At 35.4% G+C, this 12,631-nt stretch overlaps 1 long non-coding RNA gene across 1 annotated transcript in view; it reads right to left on the bottom strand.

The window, feature by feature from the left end:
* SCN1A-AS1 (SCN1A and SCN9A antisense RNA 1) overlaps nucleotides 1–12,631 on the bottom strand; it is a 220,254-nt gene that overhangs the window by 125,161 nt on the left and 82,462 nt on the right. The window contains exon 3 of the long non-coding RNA NR_110260.1: nucleotides 5,066–5,237. This is a non-coding gene — a long non-coding RNA (SCN1A and SCN9A antisense RNA 1). The remainder of the gene's footprint in view (nucleotides 1–5,065; nucleotides 5,238–12,631) is intronic.

Raw genomic sequence — 12,631 nt, 5'->3', positions numbered from 1 at the left:
GGGCCAGATATGGATGCGGTGTATGCTATTTTATTTATTTCACTGGGCAAACAGAACAATAAAGCTGGCTTTTGCATGCTGCTTCTTAGCAGTACCAAAGATAAAACCATTAGATGGTCCTACTTCCAAATGTCAATTCTGCTGGAGAAGACACTCCTAAACAAAATGTATACAGAAAACCTCAATCACAAACATTTATTAAAACAGCTCTCTGGTCCTAAGGGCAGGCCCCCATGAGATTCAAAGTTCCATCCTAAGCTACCTCACATTTATGTACTCTTCATATGATCATAATTAGAATAAGTGTATGTATATGTTTTTGAAAATATTTCCCAAAAGGGGGTTGAAAATATTTCTATGTATTTTAAGCACTTTTCATCTTTTAAAAAATCTTATAAGTTCATGTATATGTAAATCCATTTAAAATATCTAGAAACATATATACCATATACTAATATGTCTAGGTGGTAGGATTGGCTATTTTTTTTCTAATTTTTTATACTTTTATGAATTTCATTTTTGTCTAAACTTTTTAAAATTAAACTAATTATGAGTTGCTTTTATCAGCAGAGAAAGGAGATATACTCTAGCTTATCAAAAAAAAAAAAAGAAAGAAAGAAAAAGAAAAAACTTTACAGGATTACATTAAACAAACCAGACCATCTCCCCTGGACATTATGCCCATGCACCCAAAAGTGGGAGGTGGAAGATGAGAGTGATGATGACAATACAGGGAGGGGCACACCCAGGCCTGTCTCTATTGTGTAAGGCTTATTTGCCAACTCTCCCCTGTTCAGGATCAATGGAAAATTATATGGCATTTGTCTTTCTGTATATGGCAGCAACATGAACACTATCTTATTTTCCAAGGCTCACTTCAGTGATTTGTGTACCTTCCTTGCCTTAATAAATGGATCTTGAAAAGCTTTAATTAAAACTACAAAATAACTAGCTTCAGAATAGTTACTGGTAATTTATTCTATGTAAGCACAGCACAATAAAAACCATTTGGGGCTCTTAAGAACATTAGTATGCCTTTGACTGTCAGTCATTTATTTTCATCCTCATTGTCACTATCTCAGCCAAGGTCCTCATCTCTTCCTATCTAGGTTGTTGCAAGAGCTTCCTGTTTTCAATCTATTTGCCATAACATTTCCAAATGAATCTTTCTAAAGCCCAATGTTCATATAGATGGTGCTGATTAAAGACATTGACTATGCTCCCATTACCTACAGAATGAAAACCAGACATCATTTGGGTGCTAGACTCATAAACTAACTCTAACCCTGTTTTATTATTTTAATCCTCTGCTATTCCCCCATTCCATCCTGTCACTCCAATCAGTCAGAGCTGCTCCCCTGAATGTATTATATACTTTTATGCATCTACCCTCTGGCTTATGCAGTTTTCCCTTTACTTTATCACTCTGAAGTGTCTTTCCCTCAGTCTACCCAAGTCCTCCCAGTTATCTGAGTACAGCCCTTGGAGACTGTCAAGGAGAGAAGCTTGGCATGTGCCCAGAAGATGCTGCTCAAAAAAGAGAGGAGCCAATTATTTCAGGAGAGGAGCCAGTGAGAAGGGCATTACTAGGAGGACACTCCAAAATCAATATTGCAAGAAGAAGGCAATTCTTAACTTGCAGCTAAAGTGGGAGGATTAAGAACTCTGAGATTTGATAAAATGACTTACCAAATCAGACAATCTGAGCAAGTCAGAAAGCAAATGTGAGAGTTTAGTTGGTGGATGAAGAAAAAATTAAATGAGGTATCACTTTGTCATCAGAAAGGCCAGTTCAAGGGTATTGTTATAATATTATGTACCCTTTAGAGCTGTCCCCTTCTTGTGGTTTGGCATCCTTTGCAGGACTGGGGGATACTCACTGGAAACCTTATCCTTTTGGGCCTAGTTTAATCCAATCTCCTCTAGGCTGCTATGAAACTTTTCCAGATAACTTTAGCACACGGGTGTCATAGCTCCCTCTGACATCACAGCATCTGTTATCTCTAGCCTTCATTTGGCAATGGATCATATGATGGCCTATGATTGTTTTTTGCATTTTTGTACTATAATTTATAAGGACATACATTTTATTTAACTTTCTACAGTTGTGTCTAATACTTTCTTCAGTATGGAGATTTATCTCTTTTATCACATAATATCTCCCTCTTAATCAAACATAAAAATATACTCTTTATGGGCACCCAAAATATTTATTTATCATTTATTTATTTATTTATATTTTTAAACTCCTCTTACCATCATTCTCAACAACAAAAATTATTTATTGCATGACCAGAAATATGTTCTGTTAATTCACTCTTCTCTTTAAGTAGGCCTAAAATCTAAGTTGGCAGTTCCGTCTGTGAAACCATCTCTGAAAACTGTCAAAAATTACCCCAAAGTGCTCATTCATAAATAATTATATTGAATAAATTCCATAAAGAATATATATGCAGTTCAGAGTTACATTCAAGAAAGCATATATTTAAGCTTGGATAATTTGGATATGAACAATAAAAATCAACTCTGACTTGCTTAAGCAGAAAATAATGTACTGCAAGAATATTTTGTAGTTCAAAATTCATGGGAGAGCTAAAGAAGATGACTCAGAAAAAAAAAAAAGATAAAAACAAGGCTGTAAAGATTCCAGGTAGCAGACCAGTTTGAGTGCCACCACTTTTTTCCTTGTATTCACTCTGCTCAAGTTCTTAGTCTTCAGAGAGAAAAAAAAAAAATCAAGGTGGCCCCACCTGAGTTGTTTTCTCTTCCCCTCAGGCAGCAGAGAGCAAGACATCTTGACTATACAAAAATGAGAAGAAGTAATTTTCCCAAAGTAAATCTGGCACTCATCAAAAGGGGAATAATGGAAACAAGGCTTCCAAAGAAGGCACAACAGGAAGAACTGATGTAAATTATAGTCCAATTCATATATCTGTGAGGTTTTATGGATCAGTGTTCATTCTGGTGAATGAATCCTATCATCAGTTTAGAAATAAAGCAGGTGGAATGAGCATAGGGCGAAGGGTTTATTTAAAATTGGAATACTCTACTGAGGCTTTAAGGTAGATGTAGGCAGCTCCATAGTATAGATATGACCTTTTGGGCAGAAGGCACAATCAAGTCAATTATGAATGCGGAGTGGGCAGTTTGCCAGGTGAGGATGCCTCCAGGATCCAAGCCTCACTGTCTACTTAGATTCTCCTCTGAGGTCACATTGGTAATTATTCCTACTGGTTCACATTGAATGAGAGCTTTGTATGGGGAAGGTAAGTGTTTTACAGTGTAGATGGGAAAAAGTCAAATTAATAAAATATAGCAATGCTGTAACTAACATAAATCCCTAATGCCCAGAGTTGGTGAAACCAAGTGGCATGTGGGTTACACAGAAATGTACTCAAGGATACAGGCACTGGGTGATATAAAGCTGCACAGTTATGCATCAGGCATCTCTAAGCAAATCCTAAGTACTTAAAAATGGTTGTTTTTAAAATTCAGTATCTAGATATACTAATAAATCTACAAAACATTTGCCAACTGATTTTACTTCGGGAAAAGAATAATACCTTAAGACTAAGAATAAATAAAGCAGAATTTGATCATATAAAGTTTTTACAAAGAATAATTTATCTGCAGTATGTATTTCTCATGCTTGCATTACTTTTCACTGCTTCTATTATTTTAAAGGATAGTAAGTATGAAGCTTACTCTGCAAGAAAATTCTAATTATTCTACTCTTAGCAGTGGGGCCCAAAATTCTCGTGTCTTCTTGGAGACAGAGAAAAGTTATTGAGAAAGTAAGATTATTTTAGAGTGAGGAGAGCTAGTCTCAGTATTTACATATTTTAAAGAATAATTGTGGTTGCATATGCTGCTCAGAACTGAGCAAGATAATTTATCTTACTAGTGAGTATAATAAACCTAGGCCAAAAAATTTAAGATTACTAGAACATGAAGTGAAGACCAAAAATATCAGTACTTTTTTTTCTTTGTAGGGGAAACAAAGTCAGAAAACAGTGAGCATTTGCTCAATTTTTTAAATAAACACAAGAAACAAGAAGATAATAAATAAGTCCCATTTTTATAGGTAAATATGGTACTTCAGTTAGAGAACAGACATCATTAAACTGGTTGATCAGAAATCTTTAAATCCCTAATTAAATATCTGGAACTTGACTTCTAAAAATGATATTTGTACCTGTTAATTTATTGTTGTGGAGTGATCAAATGTGTATGAAATTATTTTACTTTGTGGAGCAAAGGGACTAAAGAATAAGACTAGGGAGTTTTTATTTTTATGGTACTCCAAGGATTAAATAGAAAGATGGATCCATATCTGTCTTTCCTTCCTACCAACTAGCTGTGATATAAAAGGAAATTTAAAAGTAGTGCTCTACTGCAAAGTGAAGCTCACTACAGTCAGAGTACACTAAAGAAAAGTAAAAATACAAAGCAATTAAGACATCTGAACATTATGCCTTCTCCAAAACAACTACATTTAAATGTTTTCTTCAGTGCACACAGAACATGTCCAATATCTTATACTTATTTCCCCTCCATCAAGGCAGCATTGGAGACTCAAGACAAAAACATTGGTAAAAGCATTTTCACATGTCCCAAAATCATTGTTTAACATGGATATTGCCATCAGCAGACATTGAAGCAATTAAAACCAATTTAAACATGACCAGGAAGTGGTAGCATTGGACTGAAGGGCACACTAAAGTGTCTTAATTCCATTTGCAGATATTAAACCAATATGAAGGCTAGTAATTTTACTGACTCTCTATAGAGCACCTTCTTCCACAGAAAAATAAAGGAAACATTATAAAGAAGTTTTGTAGTGATGGTTTCACAATAAAAAAATTATTTCTACTAAGGAGAATGTTCTTATAGCAAATTCCCATGGCAATGAACTGGGAACTGGGATATATATAATTCTATTTTGTGTTACTTTTAAGGGTGCATGAAAGTTCTGTATGTTTTGGGAGAGTGGCAAGCAAATAAGTTAGAAGAAACTAAAATGTTAATGTAGCTTCCAAAGCTATTAATAATTTTGATCACTGACCTGAATTCCTGTTTCCTGGAAGTGCTTCCTAGAGACCGCAGTCTCCCTGACTTCTTTGTCGCTGGTGGCTAGAGTCCCTATTTCATGCAAAGATTCCAAATCCTAGGCAGGGACCATCACTCAGTCTCAGTTGTCAGTACCTCTTGATTTACTGTCTGATGATGTCAAGTTCCTGATAAAAGCAATGGGGAAGAAAGATCTTTTAGATGACGGTGGAGCAATTAACTTGATGAAATTGCTTTGGGGAAACTCAGTCTTATGTTACAGAGAAATATATCAAGTATTTGCTTCCAAGAAAACCTGAACCAGGATTATCTCAACTTGAGGATTTTCACTAGACATAGAAAACACTGACCACAAAATGTAAAAGTACTAATGCATTTTGAAATTCCAGAAAGATTTGTATGTGCATTTTAAAAAGGTTATCAACAAGCAAAACAATGTGAGATTTTTAAGCAGTGAACAGTTAGTTCTTCCTAAGGGTCTTCTTACTACTTAGCCCATTTTTCCCCAAATAAATAGCTGAATATTATTTAGTTTTGTGATGCAGCACACTTCTTAAGGAAGGGTTTCATTAGCGTTTCTTTATCTTTCACTGGATTCAGATTAAAGCTGTGTGAGGTTTCAGAATAACATTTCTAAGATGAAAGAACTTTAAAAGGAAATTACAAAATACCAGTGCTACCTTAACCAATAGAGACAAGTATATATTCAGCGGCTGGTGCATGCAGGGCACTGTTCCAGGTGTTGTACAAAACTCAAATAATGCCCACCTGCCCAGAGTGTACATTCTAGTGTCTGTATGCTGGGTGAGGAAACAAAAGCCATGTCCGAATACTTAAAAAGCTAAACAAATAGATGAACAATATAATTTCAGATAGCAGTAAATTCTAGGATGAAAGGAAGCCAGGGTACTACAAGAAGAAATGACCATAAGGAACAGGATGGGAGAGGGTTAAATTGGATTGGTTTGCTAGGGAAAAACCTTGCTGAGGATGTCATATCTAATGTAAGGCTGAAATGACCACAAAAATGAGTCATTTCAAGACCCAGAGTCTGAGCACTGCAGACAAAAGGAACAGTATGTGCAAATCTCTTCAGATGGAAATGAACGCCACCCATTGGAGGAAAGAAAACCTGGTGTGAATGGGGGGAAATAAGATCAGAGGCAAGCAGGGGCTAGATTGCATGGGCTTTGATAAGGGGCTTGAGTTTTTTCTGGACGTATTAAGCAGTGCAATGGCATACTTGAATTTACTTTTTTTAAAATGTCAACTTTTATTTTGAATACAGAGGTACAAATGCAGGTTTGTTACATGGGTATATTGCATTCCAGTAGCGAGCATAATACCCAATAGGTACTTTTTCAATCCACCTCCCTTTCTCCCGACTCTACTAGTCCACTATGTCTATTGTTCCCATGTTTATGTCCATGTGTGCTTAATGTTTAGCTCTAACTTATAAGCGAGAACATGCCTTATTTGATTTTCTGTTCCTGCATTAATTTGCTTAGGATCGTGACCTCCAGCTCCATCCATGCTGCTTCAAAGGAAATGATTTTATTATTTTTTATGGCTGCATGGTATTCCATGGTGTACATGTACCACATTTTCTTTATTCAATCCACCACTGATGGACCCCTAGGTTGATTCCATGTCTTTGCTATTATAAATAGTGTGGCGATGAACATGAGTGCATGTACTTCTAATGATCTAATGATCTGTTTTCCTTTGAGTATATACTCAGCAATGGGATTTCTGAGTCAAATGGTAGCATACTGTTTTAAGTTCTTTGAGAAATATCCAAACTGCTTTTCATAGTGAACTAATTTACATTCCCACCAATAGTGTATAAGCATTCCCTTTTCTCCACAGACTCAACAGCATGTGTTGTTTTTTGACTTTTTAATAATATCCATTCTGACTGGTGTGAGATGGTATCTCATTGTGGTTTTCATTTGCTTTTCTCTGATGATTAGTGATCATGAGCATTTTTTCACGTTTGTTAGCCACTTATATGTCTTCTCTTGAGAAGTGTCTGTTCATCTATTTTGCCCACTTTTTAATGGGGTTAATTTTTGCCTGTTGATTGATTTAAGTTCCTTATAGATTCTGGATGTTAGACCTTGGTCTGATGCACAGTTTGTGCCTATTTTCTACCATTCTGTAGGTTGTTTGTTTATTCTGTTGGTAGTTTCTTTTGCTGTGCAGAAACTCTTTAATTAGGTCCCACTCGTCAAGTTCTGTTTTTGTTGCAATTGCTTTCGTGAACTTAATCATAAATTCTTCACCAAGGCTGATGTCAGGAAGGGCATTTTCTAGGTTTTCTTCTAGGATTTTTTATAATTTTAGTCTTACATTTAAATCTTCAACCGCTATTGTGTTAATTTTTGTATGTGGTGAAAGGTAAGTGTCCAGTTTCATTCTTCTGCATATGACTAGCCAGTTAGCCCAGCACCATTTATTGCATAGAGAGTTTTTCCCCCATTGCTTGTTCTCATTTTTGTTGGACCTTGTTCAGGATCACATGGTTGTAGGTGTGTTGCTTTATTTCTGAGTTTTATATTCTGTTCCATTGGTCTATATATCTGTTTTTGTCCAGTACCGTGCTGTTTTGATTACTTATGGTAGCCTTATAGTATAGTTTGAAGTTGGCTAGTGTGATGCCTCTGGCTTTGTTCTTTTTGCTTTGTATTGCTTTGGCTAATTTGGCTCTTTTTTGGTTTCGTATGAATTTTAGAGTCTTTTTTTTCTAATTATGTGAAGAATGACATTGTTAATTTGATAGGAATAATGTTGAATCTTTAAATTTATTTGGGCAGTATGGGCATTTTAACAATATTAATTTTTCTAATCCATGAGCATGGAACATTTTTCCATTTATTTCTGTCATCACTGATTTCTTCCAGCAGTGTTTTGTAGTTCTCCTTGTAGAGCTCTTTTACCTCCTTGGCTAGCTGTCTTCCCACTTATTTCATTTTTTTTGTGGCTATTATAAATGGGATTGTGTTCCTGGTTTGGCTCTCAGCCTGTGTGTTATTGGGGTATAGAAATGCTACTGATATTGATTTGGTATATTGAAACCCTGCTAAAATCATTTATCATTTCTAGTAGCCTTTTGTTAGAGTCTTTAGGGTTTTCTGCATATAGAATCATTTTCAGTAAAAAAAAGATGGTTTTACTTTTTTTCCTCTATGGATGCCTTAATTTAAACTTTTAACGAATTATTCTGATTGCCAGCTGGAGTAGGAGCAGGACAAGTGTAGAAGCAGTGATTGAAATTAGGATGCTTTTGTCTAGACAAGAGATGATAGGGATTTGGACTAGGGTGTTAAAATAGAAGAAGAGGTAATATGGCAGAGATGTTGAGACCAAAATTATAGTTTGGAAATGAGTAAAATACCTATTTCATAAGCTTCCTTCAATACATTTCCATATTCAAACATTTGTTGAATGTCTACTAAGTTCTGGTTTTGTACTTGAGAGATACCACAGTGAAAAACAAAACGTCTTGTAAAACATATTTTAAAGTACATTAGAAAAAATAAATAATAGATCTAATATTTAAAAATGAAGCATAAAATATTTTCACTTGCTTTCTCTTAACAGTTTTTAAAATAAAGAATATACCTGCACTACAGGAAAAAAAATGAAACTAAAAATATGCAAGAAAAAAAACCCAGAAATTAGAAATCATCAATAAATATATGAAAGAAAACCACTGGTACTTCTTTTCAACTAAGTCTTCCCCATTTTTTCTCTCGCTTGTATCTAGTGTTTTCTTAATGATAATAAAGCCTGGGGAAAAAAGTATAGTTAGGAAATGTTGGTATGTGGTTGGAATTTAAAGGATTTGGTAATTATTTTATCAAGCAGTAGCTAAAGGATTATGCCCCAGCCTTGGCCACGGTTGACTAGAAAACAAAGCCTGAGGCAATCACAAAAGCAACAAATGAGTGGGAAATGTGAGGTGGGTTGGAGAAGAGGTTAAACAAATTCAAGTAGTGCATGATGAAGCTGGCCTGCTTCATGAAGAGGCACATCCATAAGGATGTCTTTGATCAGGCTATATAATAACACCATGCTTTGGAACTGTTCATAAGTGGAGGAAAAGGAGAAAAATCATCCTGCTGCTTCCCACTTCCCTCCTGTCTCCCCATGGTAAACATTTTTCCATGGAAATTTAATACTTTGCCTCACTTTGGGGCTGGGCCTACTGGTGTTTTGGCAGCCTCAAAAGAAGCCAGATTTTGCCCCTGTGGCCCAATTCTTCATAGGAGACCAGAAGTAGTGAGCAGAGCAAGAGATTTCCTGCAGTAGTATCAATGTTCCGTTACCATCCTGTGTCAGTAGCAGCTGCAATAGCCTAAAGAAGCAAGCAGCTGAGGTTTCATGACACAAGGGGACATAAAATGACTATAAGGGTCAATCATGCAATACAGCCCTGAAGCCAACTACTTTTAGCATTTTCTGACAAAACCTAAGGGTCTAGTGTTCTTTTTGAGTCAACTTGGATGTTTTATTATAAAAAAATTTAAAGATGTTTCATCTCTAAGAACAAAAATGCTTTAAAATTTGAAAAATATATATGTATATGGCATATATACAAACAAATACACATACATATTCTATATATAATACAAATATATTGTTAAAAATCTGTAAATGGTCTAACTTTTTTTTTCCTAATAAGCAATTCTTAAAACAGTTTTCTTTTCCTCCTAGAGATAAGCTATACTTTATCTTGGCAAAGGTGGAGTAGCCTTCTGGAATGAACAAACTTGGTCACATGGTCTTCTCTCTTCCCCAGATCCCACCTGCCAGAGCTAGCTCTGACCCACTTGATAGGCTTTCAGTAATGACAGCAAGTGTCCAGCCAGTCTGAAGGTAACCAGGCATCCAGCCCACTGGACACAGGCCTGGAGGTTTTTGCACTCCCCGGAGAGCAAAGAATTGTCCAACTACTTTCTAGTTTAGTAATTTGTGTGCTAAGATTCATAGTCACAATTTAGATAGTGATTTGTGTGTACGTTTAGTTTGAACCACATGATCTCACTTAAAATCCTTTCTAAACTTTAGTTTGAAGCCAATTTTTAATTTAGATTTTTTTCCTTCTCTCCTATCCAAAAGATGCATATTTAGATGGTCTTTAGTTTTAAACTACAACTGTTTGGCCAGACTATTAACAGAAACTTATGTGCTTTCAACTAAAGCCTCTTATTCTATATCAGTGAAAACAATTAGATCATAATCAAATCCAACCTGCAGTGGGTCTCTCCAGAATTTGTCCATTGTATACTTCTAATTTCTATACTCAGCGAGAAGAAAACTAGTGTGATGCCAGGATAAACCTTTCTGCTTATCCAATAATGGTGGGACAACTTTTGAAAAGACTGAAGTGCATGCCCTCAAAATATCCTCTTATAAACTCTGCTTTTCTAACTTTTGGTAAGAGTCAGAAAACAGATAATTGATGTTATAGTTTCTAACAAGGGTCCAAAGTATAAGTATTCTGGGATCATGGTTAAGGGCAAATTCTTATGCTTTCAATATCAAATGTGTGGATTGAAAGGTTGACATATTTTTGTGAACAAGTGTACAATGTCTTAAGCAAAGCTCTTCATGGGAGGAGGATCTATGGTATATGACTTCCTCCCTCTAGAACCTTCTAACAGCCTTGCTACCAATTCATTCCTTTTCTCTTGAGTTGGAAATGAACATATAATTATGTGCCAATTTCCCACTGACACCAACAGTGTCCCCAAGTATTTTAAAAATAAGGATAATATTGAGACTTAAGGAAATAACTTCTGTTTTTAATAACACATCTTGTAAGAATCTGCCAGATTTGAATATTCTCTTCTCATATCTAAATGAGAAATTTAATAATATTAAATCATATGTTATTATCATTAAATCCTGGACTAGAATCACTATTTTCTATTTTTAATTTAGAAATAAGGTATTGTCAACAATATAGAGACTACTTACACATTTTAAGAAAATTAGTGATAATTTCTGCCAGTGGAGAAAATTCTGGTAAAGATTTATCTCTGTTCAAAAGAAAAATTTAAGGACTTTGATGGTTAATTACATATGTAAACTTGAGTAGTCCAGGGGTGTCCACATTAAACATTGTTTCTGGGTGTTTCTGTAAGGTGTTTCTGGATGAGATTAGCATTGAACCTATAGAATCAGTGAAGTACATTTCCCTCTCTAATGTGGTTGAGCGGCATCCAATCCTTTTGAAGGCCTGAATAGAACAAAAGGTGGAGAGAATGAGGAACTTGCCCCTCTTTTCCTGCCTCAGTGCTTGAGCTGTAACATTTCATCTTCTCCTGTGCTTGGACTGGGATTTACATCATTGGCTCCTTTGGTTCTCAAGCCTTCAGACTCAGGCAAAATTACACCACCAGCTTTCCTGGGTCTCCAGCTTACAGACGGCAAATTATAGGACTTCTCAGCCTCATAATCTCATAATAAGTCAATCAATAATAAATAAATAGATATTTAAATACATAGATATAGGTTCTGTTTCTCTGGAGAACCTTGACTAATCCAAAGTCTAAATAAGGGAGCCAGCAATTAGCAAGAATAGGCTGTAGTTATCAAAAGACACAGCACAGAGGCATGGGAATAGCATAATGTATGTTGGTCTCCATTTAAATCCCCTTTATTAGAACAGTGTGCAAATTTCCCCCTCCTGTCAATGTTGATATCAATAGCTCAGAGCTTCCCCTCTTCTGTAAAATTGCCATAGGCCAATAGGAGCAACCTTGTCACCTAGAAATGCGTAGAAAGTCCTTCCCTTTTCCCTAGGGGAGCATCTGATGTCTCAAAATCCAACTGGTGTTTGGTACAAGAATCTGCCCTGCTTCTAGGTAACCCAACTGTGATAATCAGGTTGGAGGATGGCATTTATATATAATTGCCTATTTTTTTCCATTTTATAGCATAAGACTAGGGACATACTAATTCAAACATCTTTACTGGGCCATTTAATTTCTTGGACCACTGTATAACCTCCTTGACAGGATTTTATCTATTTTGGCCCTTAATTTCCCAGAAATCTATTGTTAGGAACAGCAGAAGGAGAGTAGAAAGAGAGTACAACTATAAGTTCTGACACTTTCTAAAGTCAGGTTTTAATGGAAGAGCTATTTTTAAAATACAATTAATATAGTTAAAACTAAGCTCTTAGCAGAAACTGAATTGACATTTTGAGCAACTTCTATGAAGGATTATGCATTATGAGATTTGTTTTAATACCTGTGTTTGAATAATATATGGGCTAATGATTATTTGTGTCTGAATTAATACACAAACGTATAAGCACTCACACATATATTCAACAAAGACTAAAGTTCTCAAGCAAAATATGCATGATCATTCTTAAATAAACATGTAAATTCCTCTTCCATAAATTTCTTAATTACAACCAATGTAAATCCAGTCTTAAATAAAACATTCACCCTTTCAGTCATTCAGCAAATATTTTTGAGAGACTAGCATTTGCCAAACGTTGTGAAATGTACTAAGATATAATGCAAACAATTCCCTTTCCTCA

The sequence above is a fragment of the Homo sapiens genome, chromosome 2 (genome assembly GCF_000001405.40).
Source record: "Homo sapiens chromosome 2, GRCh38.p14 Primary Assembly".
In the NCBI taxonomy this organism is placed as follows: Eukaryota; Metazoa; Chordata; class Mammalia; order Primates; family Hominidae; genus Homo; species Homo sapiens.
This window is presented reverse-complemented; position numbering and strand designations above follow the sequence as displayed.